At 38.1% G+C, this 20,671-nt stretch overlaps 1 protein-coding gene across 1 annotated transcript in view; it reads right to left on the bottom strand.

Annotated features, from left to right (window-relative positions):
- Nucleotides 1-20,655, bottom strand: part of KIF4A (kinesin family member 4A) — a 130,783-nt gene extending 110,128 nt beyond the window's left edge. Inside the window, exons 1-7 of the mRNA NM_012310.5 lie at nt 20,609-20,655; nt 20,181-20,321; nt 19,954-20,068; nt 13,571-13,761; nt 11,557-11,646; nt 8,693-8,859; nt 8,361-8,455 (exon numbers count right to left, since the gene is read on the bottom strand). Of these exons, the coding sequence (NP_036442.3) occupies nt 8,361-8,455; nt 8,693-8,859; nt 11,557-11,646; nt 13,571-13,761; nt 19,954-20,068; nt 20,181-20,300 (778 nt within the window). The 5' untranslated portion in view covers nt 20,301-20,321; nt 20,609-20,655. The remainder of the gene's footprint in view (nt 1-8,360; nt 8,456-8,692; nt 8,860-11,556; nt 11,647-13,570; nt 13,762-19,953; nt 20,069-20,180; nt 20,322-20,608) is intronic.

Below are 20,671 nucleotides of genomic sequence, written 5' to 3'. Positions count from 1 at the left end.
TAATTTCCATGTTATATCAACTGTACCAGAGCATACAAAAAAACGTAAAAAACTGGAACTCTCATACACTGCTGGGGTGTAAAATGATACAAACCATGTTAGAGAACTGTTAGGCACTTTCTCATAAAGTTAAACATACGCTTGCCCTCTTCTATTCCTAGGTATTTATCCAAGTGAAATGGAAACATATGTTCACAAAAAGACCTGTATACAAATGTTCAGGGTAGCTTTATTCATAATAGCTAAAAATTTGAGATAACCTAAATTCTCAACAATACGAGAATAGAAAAACAAATAGTGGTATAATCATAGAATTGAATACTACTCAGCAATACAAAGGAAAATCACTAATCAAAGCAAGAACATGAACAAATCTCAAAAAACACTATGTTGAGCAAAAGAATCCAGGCACACACACACACACACACACACACACACACACACACAACCATTTTGAGATCCCACTGTAATGAAGTCTAAGAACATGCAAAATTAATCTATGGTGACAGAAGTCAGAAAGTGGTTGCTGGAAGTGGAATGGGGGAAGGATGGATTGACTGGAAAGGGGCACAAGGGAAGTTTCTGGAAAGATGGAATTGTTTTATATGATATTTTTGGTGGTAGATATATGAATGTATATAACTAGCAAAACTCAACAAACTAAGCATTTAAGGTATGCGCATTTTACTGTATATAAATTTTTTTTGTTTGCTTTTGAGAAAGAGTCTCACTCTGTCACCCAGCCTGGAGTGCAGTGGCGTGATCTTGGCTCACTGCAACCTCCACCTTGCAGGTTCAAGCAAATCTCGTGCCTCAGCCACCAGAGTAGCTGGGACTACAGGCGTGCGCCACCACGCTTGGCTAATTTTTGGAATGTTAGTAGACACAGGGTTTGCCATGTTGGCCAGACTGGTCTCAAACTCCTGGCCTCAAGTGATCTGCCCTTCTCGACCTCCCCAAGTGTTGGGATTACAGGCATGAGTCACTGTGCCAGGCCAATTGTATATAAATTTTACTTCAAGAAATAACATATTGAAAAATATAACTACATGAGGTGATTGATATGCTAATTAGCTTGACTGTGGTAATCATTTCACAATTTATGCATATATCAAAGTATCGCACTGTCTACTTTAAACATTTACAATTTTTTTTGTCTATTATACCTCAATAAGGCTGAAAAAGAAAAAAAGCTATTGCTCCTTAAGTAGCCAATTTTACATATTCAAAAATAGAAAAAATATGTAAGAAGAAAAACACACACAAGGCACAAATGAAAAAGATCAATAAAGTTAAAAAATGAGACTGAGGAAAACATATGCAATATATGTAACTAAGGCTTAATATCCAGAATATATAAACAACTCCTATAAATCAATAAGAAAAATACAACATGAAAGAAGAAAAAATAAGCAAATGGTATGAACAGGCAATTCATAGAAATGGAAAGAGAAATAGCCAATAACATGCAATATTCAAGAGAGGCAAGACTAAAAAGGTCAATAATATCCAATATTGTCAGTAGTATAGAGAAACATCATCATATTTTGTAGGTAGAGTGGATAAAGAGGCAGACATTTTGGTGTGCAATATTTAATAGTATTTACTCAAACGTGTATACCCTTCAATCTAGCAATTCCTCTTTCAGGTACATAACAGAGAATACTCTCACATGTTTATCATGTACAAGGCTATCTAGTGAGGCATCAATTTCCAATAGCCAGAAATTGGAAAACTGAAATGTCAACCAAAATAGGAATAAACAAGGTAGACTGTATACCGTGGAATCCTATGTAACAGTTTTTTAAATGAAGTAGACTTATATACACGGGATACAAAAAAGATCTCAGGCCTGGCGTGGTGGCTCACGCCTGTAATCCTAGCACTTTGGGAGGCCGAGGCAGGCAGATTGCTTGAGCTCAGGAGTTCGAGACCAGCCTGGGCAACAAGGTGAAACCCCATCTCTACTAAAATACAAAAAATTAGTCATGCATGGCAGCATGTGCCTGTAGTCCCACCTACTTAGGAGGCTGAGGCAGGAGAATTACTTGAACCCAGGAGGCGGAGGTTGCAGTGAGCCGAGATCGTGCCACTGTACTCCAGCCTGGATGACAGAGCAAGACTCCATCTCTTAAAACAAAACAAAACAAAAAATCTAAGTTGTATCACGAAGAGATAAAAGCAAGTTGAAAAACAATATGTGTAGCATGATGACATTTATCTTTAAAAACACAGCAACACCAATAAAAAATATATGTGTACGTGAAAAAATCTTGAATGATACCCACCAGTCAGATGAAAGTGTTCACCTCTGGATTAGGACTGGGTGGTAAATCAAGGTAGATTTTATCTTCATCTGTATTGTTTGTATTTTTATATGAGAATCTATTCATGTATTACTTGTATAGTTAAAAGGAAATAAATAAATTAGGCAATGCCAAAATATTTAAAGGTATATAAAAACTATATTACTATATGCACACATACACATATGCACAGAAAAACATCTGGTAAAGATAAACACCAAACTTAATAATCATGGTTAAACAAAAGCCTAGCTAAGAGCTTAAAAGGTCTGGGAAATGAGGTATCCACGGGAGGGAGTGGGGATTAAAAAGTTCAGATATATTTCTGAAGGTCTAGAAAGTTGTCTGAATGTATAGGGCTGTCTACATGCTCAGGAAAGACCTAAAAAGCCATAAATTTTGCATCTCTGGCTGACTTTGAGACTCTGTTTAAGCAGTGAAGGCTAAGGCAGAGTTGTAAAAGTGCCTGAGTGTTGAAGGCATATGCCCAAACACAGACACAAAACTCTTGGCAAATGGTGGAAGATGTATAGGTTCAAGGCATTTAAGTAACTGAGACCAGTCATCAAGTAACCACTAAATTAACAGAGAAGACACTTCTGTGATGGCAAACTACAGGGAATCCAGTTTACAGAATCAGTCCAGGAAAGTCACTAAACAAACAAAAACAAGTGAGATTTATCCTAGGAATACAAGGTTGGTTTAACATTCAAAAATCAATTAATGCAGTATACCATATCAATAGACTAAAGAACAAAAATAATGTGATCATGTGATCACATCAATAGATGACAAAAAAGCATTTGACAAATACCCATTCATGATAAAAACACTTAACAAACTAGGTGTACAAGGGAACTTCCTCAACCTGGTAGGGCACCTATGAAGAACAAAGACTGAATGCTTTTCCCTTAAGATCAGGAACAAAATAACAACATTCATTCTCACCACTTTTATTCACCATTATACTGGCGCTTCTAGTCAGGACAAGCAGGCAAGAAAAAGAAGTAAAGGCATCCAGACTAGAAAGAAAGAAGTAAAAGTATCTCTATTCACAGGTGACATGATCTTGTACACAGAAATCCTAAAGCATCTATTTAAAAAGCTATTAGAACTAATAAGTTCTGCAAGTTTGCAGATACAAGATCTACAAAACTCAATAAACAAATTGAAAATGAAATTAAGAAAACAATTGCATTTACAATAGCATTGGAAAGGATAAAATACTTAGGAATAAATTTAACAAAAGAAGTGTAAAACTTATACTCTGAAAATTAAAAAAAAATTATCAAAAAATATTAAAAAAGAATTAAATAAAAAGAAAGATACTCCAAGCACAGTCGCTCATGCCTATAAACCAGCACTTTGGGAGGTAAAGGCAGGAAGATCACTTGAGGCCAGGCATTCAAGACCAGCCTGGGCAAGAAAGTGAGACCCGTCTCTACAAAAAAAAATTAAAAATCAACCAAGAGTGGTGGTACATGCCTATAGTCCCAGCTACTTGGGAGGCTGAGGTAGGAAGATTGCTTGAGCCTGGGAGGTTTAGGCTGCAGCCATTGCTTTCCAACCTGGGAAACAGAGCAAGATCTTGTCTCTAAAAAAAAAAAAAAGAGGCCGGGCACGGTGGCTCATGCCTGTAATCCCAGCACTTTGGAAGGCCAAGGCGGGTGGATCACTTGAGGTTAGGAGTTTGAGACCAGCCTGGCCAACATGGTGAAGTCCCGTCTCTACTAAAAATACAAAAATCAGCCAGGTGTGCTGGCATGTGTCTGTAGTCTCAGCTACTTACTTGGGAGGCTAAGGCAGGAGAATAGCTTGAACCTGGGAAGCAGAGGTTGCAGTGAGCCGAGATCACACCACTGCACTCCAGCCTGGGCAACAGAGTGAGATTGTCTCAAAAAATAAAATAAAATAAAGATAAAAATAAAAAATTTGAAAAAATTTGAAAAAGAAAAAGAAAGACATCTGATGTTCATACATTGAAAGACTTAATATTGTTAAGATGGCAATACTTCCCAAGTGGGTCTACAGATTCAGCGAAATCTCTATAAAATCCCAGCTGGCTTTTTTGCAGAAATTGACAAGTTGAACCTAATGTTCATATGGAAATGAAAGGGGCCCAGAATAGCCAATACAATCTTGAACAAGAACGAAGTTGGAGGACTCACACTTCCCAATTTCAAAACTTACCACAAAGCTACAGTAATGAAGACATAAGGCGTAAGGCATATAGATCAAAGGAATAGAGACCAGTTGCTTCTTGACAAGTATGCCAAGACAATTCAATGGGGGAAAGGATAGTCTTTTCAACAAACGATGCTGGGATAACTCATATACAGATGCAAAAGAAACTGGACCACTCTTCACATCATATGCAAAAATTAACTCAAAATGGGTCAAAGCCTAAATGTGATATGAAAGGACATTCTTCCAAAAGTTATATAACATGAAATGATGTTCAACATCATTAGCCATCAGTGAAATATAAATAAAAACCACAATGAGATACCACTTCGTACCCACTAGGATAGCTATAATTAAAAAGGCATAATAACAAGCAAATCTGATGGCACCCAGGAGTTTGAAAAATAAATAAGTAACAAGTGAAAATGTGGAGATACTGGAACCCTTATATATTGCTGGTGAGAACAAAAAATGATGTCGTTGCTTTGAAAAACAGTGTGATGGTAGTTCTTCAAAAGGTTAAACATGGAGTGACCATATGATCCAGCAATTCCACTCATAGGTATACACTCAAGAGAAATGAAAACTTGTCTACAGAAAAACATACACAAATGTTCATAGCAGCATTATTCATAATAACCCAAAATGAAAACAACCCAAATGTCCATCAAGGGATGAATGGATAAATAAAAACATGGTATTTCCATACAATGGAAGATTGTTTGGCAATAAAACAGAATTCAGTACTGATACATGCTACAATATAGATGAACTTTGACATTATGCTATGTGAAAGAAGCCAGTCACAAAAGACCACATATTGTATAATTCCATTTATATGAAATGCCCAGAATAGGCAAATCTGCAGAGACAGAGGATTGGTTATTGCCTAGGATGAGAGGTGAGGAACATATATTGAGGGGAAATAAGGAGTGAATGCTAATGGGTATGGATTTCTTTTTGAGGTGATGAAAATATTCTAAAATTTATTGCGGTGATGGTTATACAACTCCTTGTGAACATACTAAAAATCAGTGAAATGTATACTTTAAAAGGGTGAGTGTTATGGTATGTTAATTATATAATTATATCTTTTATTCTTTTAAAAAAAAAGTTAAACAGAGTTACCATATGACCTAGCAATTCCATTCCTAGGTATATACCCAAGATAAATGAAAACCTTTGTCCACGTGAAAATTTACACACAGAAGTTCATAACAGAGAAAATTGGATATGACTGATGAATGAACAACCAAAATGTGGCATATCCATACAATGGAATATTGTTCAGCAATAGAAAGAAATGAGGCCGGGTATGGTGGCTCACACCTGTAATCCCAGCACTTTGGGAGGCCAAGGTGGGTGGATCACTTGAGGTCAGGAGTTCAAGACCAGCCTGGCCAACATGGTGAATGAAACCCCATCTCTACTAAAAAATACAAAAATTAGCCAGGCATGGTGGCACATGCTTGTAACCCCAGCTATGGGAGGCTGAGGCAGTAGAACTGCCTGAACCTGGAAGGTGGAGGTTGCAGTGAGCCAAGATCATGCCACTGCACTCCAGCCTGGGCAACAGAGTGAGACTCTCTCTCTCTCAAAAAAAAAAAAAAAAAAAAAAAGGAATGAAGTACTGATATATGATGCAACATGGATGAACCTTGAAAATCTTAGGCTAAGCCAGTCACAAAAGACAATATATTGTATGATTACATTTATATGAAATGTAAACTAGTTCAACCATTGTGGAAGTCAGTGTGGCGATTCCTCAGGGATCGAAAACTAGAAATACCATTTGACCCAGCCATCCCATTACTGGGTATATACCCAAAGGACTATAAATCATGCTGCTATAAAGACACATGCACACATATGTTTATTGCAGCACTATTCACAATAGCAAAGACTTGGAACCAACCCAAATGTCCAACAATGATAGACTGGATTAAGAAAATGTGGCACATGTACACCATGGAATACTATGCAGCCATAAAAAATGATGAGTTCATGTCCTTTGTAGGGACATGGATGAAATTGGAAATCATCATTCTCAGTAAACTATCGCAAGGACAAAAAACCAAACACCACATGTTCTCACTCATAGGTGGGAATTGCACAATGAGAACACATGGACACAGGAAGGGGAACATCACACTCTGCGGACTGTTGTGGGGTGGGGGGAGGGGGGAGGGATAGCATTAGGAGATATACCTAATGCTAAATGACGAGTTAATGGGTGCAGCACACCAGCATGGCACATGTATACATATGTAACTAACCTGCACATTGTGCACATGTACCCTAAAACTTAAAGTATAATAATAATAATAATAAAATAAAATAAAAAAATAAAAAAAAAGAAATGTAAGTTAAGTGGTTGCCTAGGGCCAGGGAAAGGGGTGGGAATGGGGAGTGACTGCTAATGAATATGGGGCTTCTCCTTGGGATGATAAAATGTTCTAAAATTAGATTATGATGATGATTGTACAACTCTGTGAATATACTAAAATCCACTGATATGTACAGTTTAAATAGGTAATGTTATAGTACGTAAATTATATCTCAATAAAGCTGTTAAATAAAACAACTTGGAACTGAACACCTAAAAGAAGATAAAGAAAGCATTACAGCCTTTAAAAATAGTCTTAGGAAAGCTAAATCTCAAGTGCAAACATAGAACAAAAAGGGTACTTTGAATGACACTCAGAACAAAAAGCTGAATGAGGAAGAAACAGGTCTGCACTCAGTGCCAACAGTATAATAATGATAAATGACAGAAATAAAATTCCTCAATTAATATTTTTCCTTCTGCCTTCTCAGTTCCCAAGAGAGAAATGAAGCCCAATATGAGTAAAGAGGTAGTAAGTGTAAACCCAACTGCTTTAATAAGAGTTCAAATATCTTGGACCAGATGAATTATAGCTAAGGGAACATAGAGTAATTTCAAACGAGACTGCTGAAGCTATGTCAATGATCTTTGACGAATCACAGAGAAAGACATTCTAGAAGACTGGGCAGATGCAATTTCAATTTTCAAAACAGGGATAAAAGTTAATTCCATAAATTACCAAACAGTGGGTTTGATATAAGTCTAGAGTGGATTATTAGAGGGACAGCATGCAAGAACCTAGAAAACAGAAGAATAAGCACTAGAAGCCAACCTTGAATTCACCAAGAAAAAGCACTTTAGGCTAAAATCCCTTATTTCTTTTTTGTATTGTTACTAAGCTGGTAGCTATGAGAAATACAGTAGATATGGTGTATCTGGATTTAGCAAGGCATCTGATGAACTATTTTATGATATCCTTAAGAACAAAATTGAGATATAGAGCTGGATGTTAATTTTTGTTAGAGAGATTAATAATCACTTCAAGATCATTACCAAGGCATGCAGATTACCAGGTCACTATAATGTTAGAAGAAGGTTTCTAATAGCCTACATCACAGGGTTCTTCTAGCCTTAGGAATTTCATCACTTTTCAAATTCAACAACTTGAATGAAGGCATGGAAATTGGGCTGAGGTTTATATGTGACAACATCTGGAAGGGATGGTGAATACTTAAAATGACAGAATCAGGATACTGATTTTAATTATAAATAGTTGGGGTAAAACAAAACAAAACAAAACTAAAACTAAAACTTGCCTGGACCAGATGAAATCAAACCAAAGGCCAGATCCAAATCTCATACCTGAATTAGAGAATGAGAGCAAGGGAAAGAAACAATTTTTCGCTATTTCTGAACTCAGCCTCAAATCTGAATCGTAGCTACTGTTAGAATGTGATCTCAAATCCCAGTCGAAAACACCAACAATACCAACAAGAGTACTAGAAGTTTTTAATCTACAACTGTGACCTTAATTACTCTCTTACCCTCTTTTAGACGATCCCCTTCAGCCTTGGTTTTCTTCTGTCTTTCTGATCCAGCGAGGTCTACAAGATGCAGCTTGGAGCGAAAGCTGCTATTCCTGTGATAATGAAAGGAAGACACAGTGAGAATGGTACACAAGCTTGAGAGTAACTGAATATCAAAGCTGACCTGTCAGCTCTCATTTTCTTTCAAGTCAGTCAAAATGGCTCCATTAGTCACTCGTGCTCACAATACTGATGTCTGATGATTTGTCAAATCAATTGAAGAAGCAGTCTAATGTTTAACCTTAATAGAACTAATACTAAAAATCTTGACTCTTTAAATTGTAACTTACTTGTCACTTTTCTTTCTTTGCTCTAAGGAGATTGTAAAGATGGCATGAGATCGGGACGACTGGGAGTTCATAGCCGTGGAGGCCACAGTCCTAGAGTTGTTGCCCTGTTCCAAACAGGAAACAGTATCCAAGGCAACCAAAACAGTCTTCTCAGTGAGTCCCACAATCTAATTGCAAGAAAGAGAAAATTCCCTTATGATTTATACTTCAAATGCTTGGTCAGAAATATAGGGATTGGTGGTTTAAAAAAATGCCTTGATAGTCTAGTAGAACCTCAAATAGAACAGTCATGGTGATAAGAACTGCTTTAACTGGCAACTCTGTGAAGATAGCTGGAAACTAAGGTCTCCAATCTTCCTTAGGAACTTCAGAAACAAGCGTGCCAGCTAATACTGGAGCTAGAAAAGATCTCAAGATTTTAGGGTAGCAATGGCTACGTGCCTTCCAAGAAACCCCAAGTGAAGTTAATTCTGGTCCCAAGGAGAGCAAGTACAACACAAACAGCGATGGCATTTCTCTTTGTTACTTTCACCCCTATCTGACCCCATGCTCCTCTCTGTACCTCTGATTCATTTTTAACCTCATTTTCACTAGAGGAAATAGCATGGTACAGTTTCCACTGGATTAGGAAGCCAGGAAAACAGGACCCCAGGCTTAGTACTGTATTTACCTTGGAGAACTTATACAAGTTGAATCTCTTGGAGCCTCTGAGGTGATTGGACTAGATGCTTATGAAGTCTTTTCTAGCTCCAATATGCTATAATTTTATTACTTCATAGCTCCCAAACTTACTTCTGTGGCCCTAATTTCTAGTCTTTTATTTCTAATGATCTACCTTACCACTTACACTTTGAAATCAGTCAATTATAAACCAAATTCATCTTCCTCCCACAAACACTAATTCTCTCTACTATAATACTTCTCCATTTCTATTAATCTTGTCTCATATTCTCAAAAACTCACATCACCTTCAACTTCTCCCACTCCTCCATATAATATCTATCACCAACTACTAGTCATTCTCCTTTTGAATCCATCACTTCCTTTTCCTTTACACATCTACTTGCCTAGTTCAGGCCCATATTACTTCACACCTAAAAAATAAGCAACAGTTTCCCCAACTGGTCTTTCTCATCCCAGTCTTTCTCCTTTTCAATCCATTTCTGTTTGGTTTTCCTAAAATGTCACCAACCTACTAAGCCCTGTGCTAGATAACGAAGATACAAAGAGATTTCAAAGTACTCCCCTGACCTCCAGGTTAGGGTGAATTCCTTATAAGAATGAATTCACATATCACTTGTAACAGAGTTGGAGAGATACACACATAAGATAAAAACTTGGTAAAAGTAGCCACAGTAATCCCTCACTCAGAAGTTTTACATAGTTTATATGGTTCACAGGGATAGAAACTAAGCTCTTTAGCCCGGCTTCATAATCTGGTCCTAACATATCTCCTGTTACTTCCCAGCCCAAATCCTCTAATCCAGACAGACTTGTGTAGTCTTATTACCCTCAGGTGTATATTTTCTGCTTTCCTGCTAAAGCTATTCCTTACCATAAGAATATCCTTATTTTCTCTACTTACTTAAAGCCTATCCATCCCATCTGAAGAGTGTTTACAAACTCTTCCTTACCAATTTGTGTCAGGAACTCATACTTCTCTGTATTGCAAATCTCACCTCAAACAACTCTTAGGACTTAATTCCTGCCTTAACATGGGGTATATAAAAGATCTTGAAACAGGGTCAAGTGCTGGCTCAGTACAATAGCATGTATTTTGTCCAGGTTTCTTATCCTCACTATCCAAATCATCTTTGCATATTCCAAGCTTATCAGGGCTGATCCTTTAAACTTTGCATTAGTAGCTGGCTAACAACTTAATGACCCAGAAAAAAAAATCAGGAGCACAGGCACCTGTCCCTCACTGGTACCCCAAATCTTCAACTTTCTCTGTTTTTCTTTGTGCAAGAGAAGAAGGGAAGGAGAACAGGAGTAAGATATTATTCCAAGTTTTCCAGAGTACTACCTAGCCTCATCTACCTCCAGCCTCTGATTTTCCCACTCCTGAATACTCAAGCTCTGCCTGTTTTCAACACTGGCTTCTGGATTTGGCTCACTCCCACATAGGAAACTCTCAATTTTGCCTCACATTTTCTGTTCAGTTCTAGCTCCTCATCTTGCATCTATACCATCTGACAGAAGATTCTCAAATAAGCTATCTCTTCTTCCTATGATACTTACATGTTTTAAAAATTATATATAGTTTAACTTTTCAATTTTAAAAATATCATCCCAAAGCCCAGCAAAATGTCTATTACAGTGCTGTCCAACAGAATTTTCTATTGGATATAGATATGTTCAATCATATCCATGCATTAGTAGCTGGCTAACAATGACCCAGAAGAAAATACATGGATATGTTCTGTATCTATCTGTGCTCTCAAACATGGTTACCACTAGCCATATGTAGCTATCGAGCACTTCATACGTGGCTAGTGTGCCTGAGGAAATGAATTTTTAAAATTTTATTCAATTTTAATTCATTTAAATTTAAATAGCCACTTGTGGCTAGTGGCTAACATACTGGACTGCTCAGCCTTAGAACTCTGTAAATAATATTTAATTGATATTGGCATTCCTCTAGGTAACAGGAAGGTGATAAAACTGAACATGCGTCTTTCCTTGCTTCCCCACAAGAGCTCCCACCTAGAAATTTTAGATTAACAAAGGGACTTAGGACCACAGAAAACCTGACTGAGATGATAGTAGTCATTTAAAACCACAGTGGCAGATAAAAGGGATGTGAACTTTAGTATTATAATTGCCAAATTTTTTTAATAACATCAAATGAGAGACAAACACACCTTTATGCCTTCCTTAGGATCCTCTCGTATATTTATTTGAGCTTTCTCACGAGATGGGCATAGAAGATCCAAAATTTCTTCATTGTAAATCTGATATTGTTGAAAATAAAGTGGCAAAAACAAGATGTTAACAGTGGTAATCTCTGGGTGGTGAGATCATAGGTAATTTTTAAAATTATTTGTGACTTTCTATATTTAAACATTTGTTCATAATGAACATGTATTACTTGTAGAATTAAGAAAAGGACCATAACCCTATAGGTAATCACTTGATGTTTTATAAGAATGAATTCACATATCACTTGTAGCAAAATTGAGATTGCTCTCTTAAGACAGTCTCTTAGGAACAGCAGACACATGAAAAGTTACATGACCACGCAAATTCAGTTCTTTGATGGCATCATAATAGCATTACATTCACCCATTTTGTTAAAATGTGAATAACAGGTACATAGATGGGGGTGGATGGAAAAGGAAGAAGTGGCAGCTAATATTTCAATATGAAACAGAATTTTAAGTACTTAGAACAGTGTTTAGCACATCTAAGCACTACATGTGTTTGCTATTACTGCTATTGCTATTATTTAACATACCAGGATCTGGAGTTATTTTGATATTCAATTATGTTGGCCACAACTAGGTTAATCAAGAGACTCAAGAAGGCTAATCTAGCTGAGCACAGTCACTCACGCCTATAATCCCAGCACTTTGGGAAGCCAAAATGGGAGGATCACTTGAGCCCAGGGGTCTGTCACCAGCCTGGGCAACATAGTGAGACCCTGTCTCTACAAAAATTTAAAAATTAGCCAGGCGAAGTGGCACACGCTTGTAGTCCCAGCTGCTTGGAAGGCTGAGGTGGGGTGGGAGGATCGCTTGAGCAGGAGCTGGAGGCTGCAGTGAGCTATGATTTTGCCACTGCACTCCAGCCTGTGAGAGAGTGGGACTCTTTCTCAAAAGAAATAAATAAATAGAATTAAAAATTGCCTTTAAGGTCTCACTCTGGGGCTCAAGCAATCCTTCCACCCTACCTCAGCCTCCTGAGCAGCTGGGACTGCAGGCATGCACCACCTCACCTGGCTAATCTTTAAAGTTTTTGTAGAGACAAGGTCTCACTATGTTGCCCAGGCTGGTCTCGGACCCCTGGGTTGAAGTGATCCTCCCGCCCTGGCCTCCCAAAGTGCTGGGATTACAGGCGTGAACCACCGGGCCTGGCCAAGAAGGCTAATCTTAATGATGTAATCCCCTGTCTTCCAGTTCTACATCTCTTTACCTGTTAGCATGCTGAGATTGAACTTCAGGATTAAGTGTTCACATGCTTAAATTATATAAGTTTAATTATTACCCCCTAAAGGATAAGACATCACTGCTATGGAATCAAGTAGCTAGCTTCCCAGAAGCCATCAGTTCCCTAAAGATGTGTTTTTGATGTTATGAAGTTAGATACAATTGGCCAGTCTACAACTATACTAATATACACTAGAACACAAACTCCCATAAGGGCTAGAATTTTTGTTTTGTTCACTGATATATACCAAGTACCTCATATACCCAAGTGCCTAGAATTGGGCCTGGCACATGGTAGGTTCTCAGTAAATATCTGTTTAATAAACACACTCTATCACCGCTTATACAGCTCAATATTTCAGCTGGTTTTTAACATTCTTCATGAGGCAACAGCATTATCATTTAAGTCTTAAACAGTAAAGGGAAATCAAACACTCTTCTGCAGACTATACAGGTAATCAGTAACAGAGGCCAAACTGGAATTAAAGAATTCCTATCACCTTTTATATGGCAATGTCAATTCCTCCAACAATCAAATTAAACAGACTATTCTAACACCAAGGAAAGAACTGGGTGGGAGCCGGATCCAACTGAGTCAGTAAGTTTTCTCTATCAATTAATTAAAATGCAACTTACTAATTTGAGTCATGTCAGGAAAAACCTGATTTGGATTTATTTTTCGACCCAAAGACAATTTCGAATTCAGAATAATTAAACATAAATTGCTTACCTCTAAGTAAGACACTTTCAGAGTAAATTCAAAGTCACTCTTTTTATCAATTTCTTTGAAGAGCAGTTGTATTACCCTAGGAATAACCCCAACTGTTGGTTCATTCTCTTGCTCTGCAGTATATGCACCTCCCATTGAATAGGTTTTTCCAGAGCCAGTCTGCCCATAGGCCAGGACCGTTGCATTATATCCTGACAAAATAGACGTCACATGCATAGTGGTGTTTAAACATTTTCATCTAATCAATATACTCCATTTCCTTCAGCAATTATTTGTAATAAAACTGAGATTGCTCTCTTAATACAGTCTCTTAAGAATGGCAGACACAAAGAAAAGTTCTGTGGGTACCATGACCTTGCACTACTCAAAATAAGCAAAAAACAAACAAAAACAAAACAAAACCCAACCCTAAAATGTGTCCCCGTAGTGATAGCCCTTAGAAGCTAAGAAATCAAACACTTAAAAGATATGACTGACTAAATGAAGGTGGCCAAGCCACTGTCAAAAGCCATTGGAGCTTGAAAATTCTGTCTTCCTACCTTAAGCAATTTTAAATTACAGAAATTAAATTAAAGAAAAAGAAAGGATTCTGGCATGTATTTTCTTGATTAACAGTATTTATCTGAAAAGGAAACAACATTGCTTTTTACAGTCAATGAAAGCATCTACTTCATATCTGAACTCTCAGAATGCATTTGAACCATATTATCAGGCTGCTTACAGAAATATCATCATTTAAGCATAATTCAATGTGATATATGCCTTTGCTTTTATTGAGAATTGATAAAGAATCATCCATTAATGAGCCAGGTTCCGTGACTCATACCTGTAATCCCAGCACTTTGGGAAGCCGAGGCAGGCAGATTGCTTTAGCTCAGGAGTTTAACATTAGACTGGGCAACATGGTGAAACCCTGTCTCTACTAAAAATACAAAAATTAACAGGGCATGGTGGCAGGTGCCTATAATCCCAGCTACTTTGGAGGCTGAGGCAGGAGAATCACCTGAGCCTGGGAGGCAGAGGTTACAGTGAGCCTTGATCAAGCCACTGCACTCCAGCCTAGGTGACAGAGCAGACCCTGTCTCAAAAAAAAAAAAAAAAAAAAGCATCATTTATTCAAAGATGTTCACAATATAGTTAACTGAAAAAAGCAGCTTAAAAATAATTGTTAAATATGAGTGTATGGATAGGAAAAGATCAAAAGTATATAAATTATTAATTATTTTGATGTTTATCTCTGAGAAATAGGATGGTAAATTTTTTTTTTTTTTTGAGATGGAGTCTCGCTCTGCCGCCCAGGCTGGAGTGCAGTGGCGCGATCTCGGCTAACTACAACCTCCACCTCCCGGGTTCAAGCGATTCTCCTGCCTCAGTCTCCCGAGTAGCTGGGATTACAGACGCGTGCCACCACGCCCAGCTAATTTTTTGAATTTTTAGTAGAGACGGGGTTTCACCGTGTTAGCCAGGATGGTCTTGATCTCCTGACCTTGTGATCCGCCCATCTTGGCCTCCCAAAGTGCTGGTATTACAGGCGTGAGCCACCACACCAAGCCATAGGATGGTAAATTTTTTGTGTTTTCTTTTCCCCCGTTTGTATTTTTTAAATTATTAAATAGAAGGCATTATTGAACAGAGGCTGTGTTTTTCGTTATCACTTATGTTATCAGTACTGTTTGCAGAAAGACCCATAAAATATATTTCTGTTTGAGTTTATTGGCCAGGCGTGGTGGCTCACGCCTGCAATCGAGCACTTTGGGAGGCCGAGGCGGGCAGATCGCTTGAGGTCAGAGTTTGAAACCAGCCCGGCCAACATGGCAAAACCCTATCTGTACTAAAAACACAAAAATTAGCTGGGTGTGATGGTGGGCGCCTGTGGTCCCAGCTACTCGGGAGGCTGAGGCAGGAGAATTGCTTGAACCCAGGAGGCGGAGGTTACAGTGAACCGAGATCGCACCACTGCACTTCAGCCTGGGCCACTGAGGGAGATTCGGTTTCAAAAAAAAGTATATTTCTGTTTGGGCTTAGTTCTGGTAAAAATGTTTATTTTGTAGATTAGTTTTTATATTTTCTCTTGTCAGATAATCCAGATTACTAGTTACTCAGCACTCCCCCTCCCCGGTTTTTTGAGACAAGGTCTCACTCTGTCACCCAGGCTGCAGCACAGTGTGTGCTATCACGGCTTCGCCTCCCAGGCCCAAGCGATCCTCCCACCTGAGCCTCCAGGGTAGCTAGGACTACAGGCACGCGCCACTATGCCCAGCTAATTTTTTTGTATTTTTTGGTAGAGACGAGTTTCGCCATATTGGCCAGGCTGGTTTCGAACTCCTGACATCAAATGATCTGCCCACCTCAGCCTCCCAAAGTGCTGAGATTACAGGCTTGAGCGACCATGCCCAGCGGGCATTTTCGTTTTATCCCGTAAATTCAAAGTTTGGATTGAAGCTAGAGGAAGATAAACAACTGTAGCAAGATTTTATAAAGAAACAATTAGACAATAGACAGGTTATTCTTACTTTAACTTCAATTGTTACAGTCGTGTGCCATATAATAGCATTTCAATCATGTGGAATGTATACACGATGGTGAAAAATTCCTGTTGCTTATTGACTTAGCCATTATAATATTGCAGTGCAACATGTTACATGTTTGTGTTGATGCTGGGGTAAAGAAACCTACTTCACTGCTAGTCATATAAAAGTACAGCACATCCAACTATGTACAGTATGTAACGCTTCATAATAATAAATGATTGTTACTAGTTTATGTGTTTAGTATACTATACCATACTTTTTATCATTTTTAAGAGTATACTCCTTCTACTTATGATAAATAAAGTTAACTGTAAAACAGCCTCAGGCAGGTCCTTCAGGAGGTATTCCAGAAGAAAGTATTGTTGTCATAGGAGATGACAGCTCTATGGATGTTATTGTCCCTGAAGACTTTCCAGTAGGACAAGACGTGGAGGTGGAAGACAGTGATATTGAAGATCCTGGCCCTGGGTGGGCCTAGGCTAATGTGTATGTTTGTGTCTTAGTTTTTAACAAAAAGTTTAAAAAGTAAAAAAATATATTTTTTTAAAAAGAAAAAAGCTTACAGAATAAAGATGCAGAGTGAAAATGTTTATTCCGCTGTGCAATGTATTTGTGTTTTAAGCTAAGTATTATTACAAAAAAGTCAAAAAGATTTAAAAAATTAAAGTTTATAAAGTAAAAAACGTATAATAAGCGAAGGTTAATTTATGATTGAAGAAAGACACAAAGTTTAATAAATTTAGTGTAAGCTAAGTATCCAGTGTTTATAAAGTCTACAGTAGTATACAATAATGTTTTAGGCCCTTACATTCACTCACCACTCATCACTGACTCACTCAGAGCAACTTCCAGTCCTGCAAGCTCCATTCACGGTAATTGCCCTATACGGGTGTATCAGTTTTTACCTTTCATACTGTATTTTTACCTCACCTTTTCTATACTTAGATCACAAATATTTTCCATGATGTTACAACCGCCTACAGTATTCAGTACAGTAACATGCTTTGCAGGTTTGTAGCCTAGGAGCAGTAGGCTCAGGTGTATAGGAGGCTATACTATCTAGGTTTGTATACATGCACTCCACCATGTTCATACAATGACAAAACCGCCTAATAATGCACTTCTCAGAAGGTATCCCTGTCGTTAACTGATGCATAATTATAACTTGCTACTTAATTGTACAGTAGTAGCTTCTAAAACTATAAGCATGGCACCTAAAAGGAACTACAAATGCAAATTTACTTCAAGGTGAAAAAAATAATGACCTTAGGGAAGTCTGTTCCTTATTAGTGTGGCAGACATGTTGTCAAGGAACACAAAGCAAGCTTTCTCTGTTAAATGATCATCATATTTATGTCAAAGCTGTTATCTGCTATTTACCAAGATAATTTTGCAGTCTGAAGGAAAAAACCCTTTAAACTTTGAAACAACGTTTTAATCTAAATGAAAACTTTGAAGTTTTGAAAAAACTTGTTGGTCTAAATGAAGGATCATAAGAAGATGCTAAATTGAGATTTTCACTGTAATAGACCGCTGGTATCAGCTGGCATGACTATGGGGCAAGAGAATAACATTCCATAATTTTCTGCAATACCACAGATATGTGCAGATAGCAATAACTTGGGAAATGAGGTTTTAGTAGTTTTTACAAAATACTTAGGGCTCTGTGGTACCAGGAGTTCAGAGTACAAGAGGGTGCTGTTGAGCTGACTATAAAAAATATTGACTTTGTTTTTGCAACCAAGGGTAATGTTAAGCAAACACATGTATATTGGAATCACTTTCTACTTTATGTTGCCTTTAAAGAACATAATTTAATTCTATCAGTTTCCCAAGTTAAGAATGTAAAAGTAGAACTGTGGTGCTCTTACTAAGCTGTGGAGGTATAGCCTGAGGAATCTGACCAGATAGTGCAGGGTCTGAAAAGCATATTGTTTCAGGAATGGCTAAAGGAAAGGCGGGGATAATTGAAGAGAATTAGGTAGAAACACTTAACGGTTTTCCAAATACTGTATGTAAAAAGGAAAAAGATTATAGTGGAGAAGCCCAGCAGATTAACACCTTAATCAAATGATCAAAATGAACATCAGTAGTAATAGAATAAATCAAAATCATGTGCTGCCCAATAGGCTTCAGTGAGAAGAAAACAGCACCACTTCTGTGATATTCCTGCTAAAAGATACACAACCTGAATCTAATCATAAGTAAATGCCAGACAAAACAATATTGAGAAAAGGTTTACAAAATAACTGGCCTGTAATCTTCAAAGTGTCAAACTCATAAAAGTCAAAAAAAGACTAAAGAACTGTTTTAGAATGGAGACTAAAGAGACAGCAAAACTAAATAAAACGTGATTTTGAACTAGATCTTTTTGCCATAAAATATTTACTGGGACAATTGGTGAAACTTGAATGGGGTTTCAGGAATAGATGGTAGTAATGTAGCAGTGCAAATTTTATTGTTTTGATGGTTGTATTGTGGTAACTTAGAAGAAAGTCCTTTTTTGTAGGAAATATACACTAAAGTATGGGGGGTTATCAGGCCAATGATTCATCTCAAATGGTTCAGGGAAAAAATGTTTTTTATGCTGTTCTTGCAACATTCTATACGTTTGAAATTATTGCATTAATATCTTAAAATTTTGAAACAAAAATTTCAGTGTTCCTTGAGCCATATCATTAAACAAAAAAACGTGAAAAAATATGTGAATAGCTGTTGCCTAGAAGAAGGCTTCTAAAGGAATGAACTAACATCACTGGGTAGAAATTACCAGGAAGCAAATTTCATCTCATTATAAAGATCTTTATAACATAATTAGACTTGTCCAAAACCCAAATCTCAACTGGACTACCTGTGAGTCAGTGAGTTCCCTGTCAAAAAAATTTTAGACACTGGCAGTTCACCTAACAGATATTGTTAGAACGCATTTTTCTTTGGATGAAAAACAAACTAGATGATATACAAATGTCTCTTTCAACTTTAAGGCACTAGCATGCCATGATTCTACTTCTTTTAAACGAACCTCTGTTTTGAATCTTGAATAACCACTGTATTAGAATAATAATTAGACATCTCTCAGGCACTGCTCCCTTCTTTAGAACCCTGCTATGGTCCTCAACAGCATTAAAGACTTAGCTTCCCCAGTAAAGATTATTAACTGGTGATAGTATTCAGAGGCTTTAGGCACTCCCCTTCTCCACCTAAAAGAAGTATACTCATTATTCAAGACCCATCTCAAAGTTTTCCCACTCTGTGAAATTCACCCCAAATTCCCCAAGCAGAGTTAGAGCCATCCTTTTGTTTTTCATACCACTTTGTATGAGAGCAGAGCTACTACTTCCATAGGACTGACTCTGTTGTATATTTTTAACTTGAAAAATTTTTCTTCTAAAAGATAGGTACAAAAAATTTAAAAATTTTTATATATTCAAAATTATTTATGTAGTCATCTATCTCCATTCCTATCCCCTGGACTTTGAACTCCTTCAGGGCCTCGAAGCTATATTATTTATCACCTGAATCCCTCAACAAGCTTTGCAGTGCCTGGGCCTCAAGTAGGTTGGCACACTTATCACCATCAGCAACCACCACAGAGTTTATAATCTAATGAAGTTCCAGGATAAACAAACATATACAAGTCAAAGATGAACAGAACCACATAAAGCAAATACAGAATAAAACTAGCTTCAAGGGTACAGAGACGTTGACAAATGTTATTAGGCTAAGGGCTTCTTGAAGGCAGGAATCATGATTCATCGATTCCTGTATTTGCAGTGCCCAAGCACAGTGCTTGGCACATAGTATATGCTCAAGGAATATATATGTTACGTTCGAGGAATCAAATCGCCTTACCTTTAAATACACCTTTTATGAGTGGCGCTACTGCTGTATTGAAGACTTCTTCCTGTTCAGTAGAGGGATCAAATACAAAATCGTAGGTGAAGGATTTATCTGTACCAACCACCACCTAGAGAAGGCACGGGACAAGGCGTAAGGTTAAAAATGAAAGGCAAGACCACACCCCTCGTTACCATTTGGCCCCAGCTGTTCAGACACAGGCTCTGGACTCTGCTACGCACCTGAGGCTCTCCGGGCACGAAGGAAAGGCACATCTGGCAGCCCTCGCTAATCTCTTTGGGGACCAGAGGGCGACAACGCAGCGCCACTCTTACGGGAATTCCCTTCACCTCTTCCTTCATGATCCTATCTCAGCACCGTCTCTGCGAGGGGGAAAAAGAAGGCTCGCTGATGAATGTTAGTAGGTCAGCAGGGGTGGGAGGGCGTCCTCCCCGGTTCCGACCCTCCTCAGCGGGAACACTGACTTGGGAGATTCACGCTCCATGACTTGGCCAGGGCTGGACCGCCCGTCAGCCCTGCACTCTAAAGAGAGTGCACGGGCTTCTGAAAGGCAAAGAAAAAACTCCAACGGGGACGGCGACAAAGAACCAAAGCCCTAGGGTACTGGGTAAAAACAGGTTCTGAGCTAAGGTGTGCCCCCGTAACTCACCAAACTAAATGTCCCTTCCCCGTTCTCCCTGGGCCTCCCGCCGCCCTGTCCCAGCCGGAGCTT

Source organism: Homo sapiens, chromosome X (genome assembly GCF_000001405.40).
Source record: "Homo sapiens chromosome X, GRCh38.p14 Primary Assembly".
Lineage (NCBI taxonomy): Eukaryota > Metazoa > Chordata > Mammalia > Primates > Hominidae > Homo > Homo sapiens.
The sequence above is the reverse complement of the archived record's forward strand: the minus strand, read 5'-3'. Positions and strand labels throughout refer to the sequence as shown.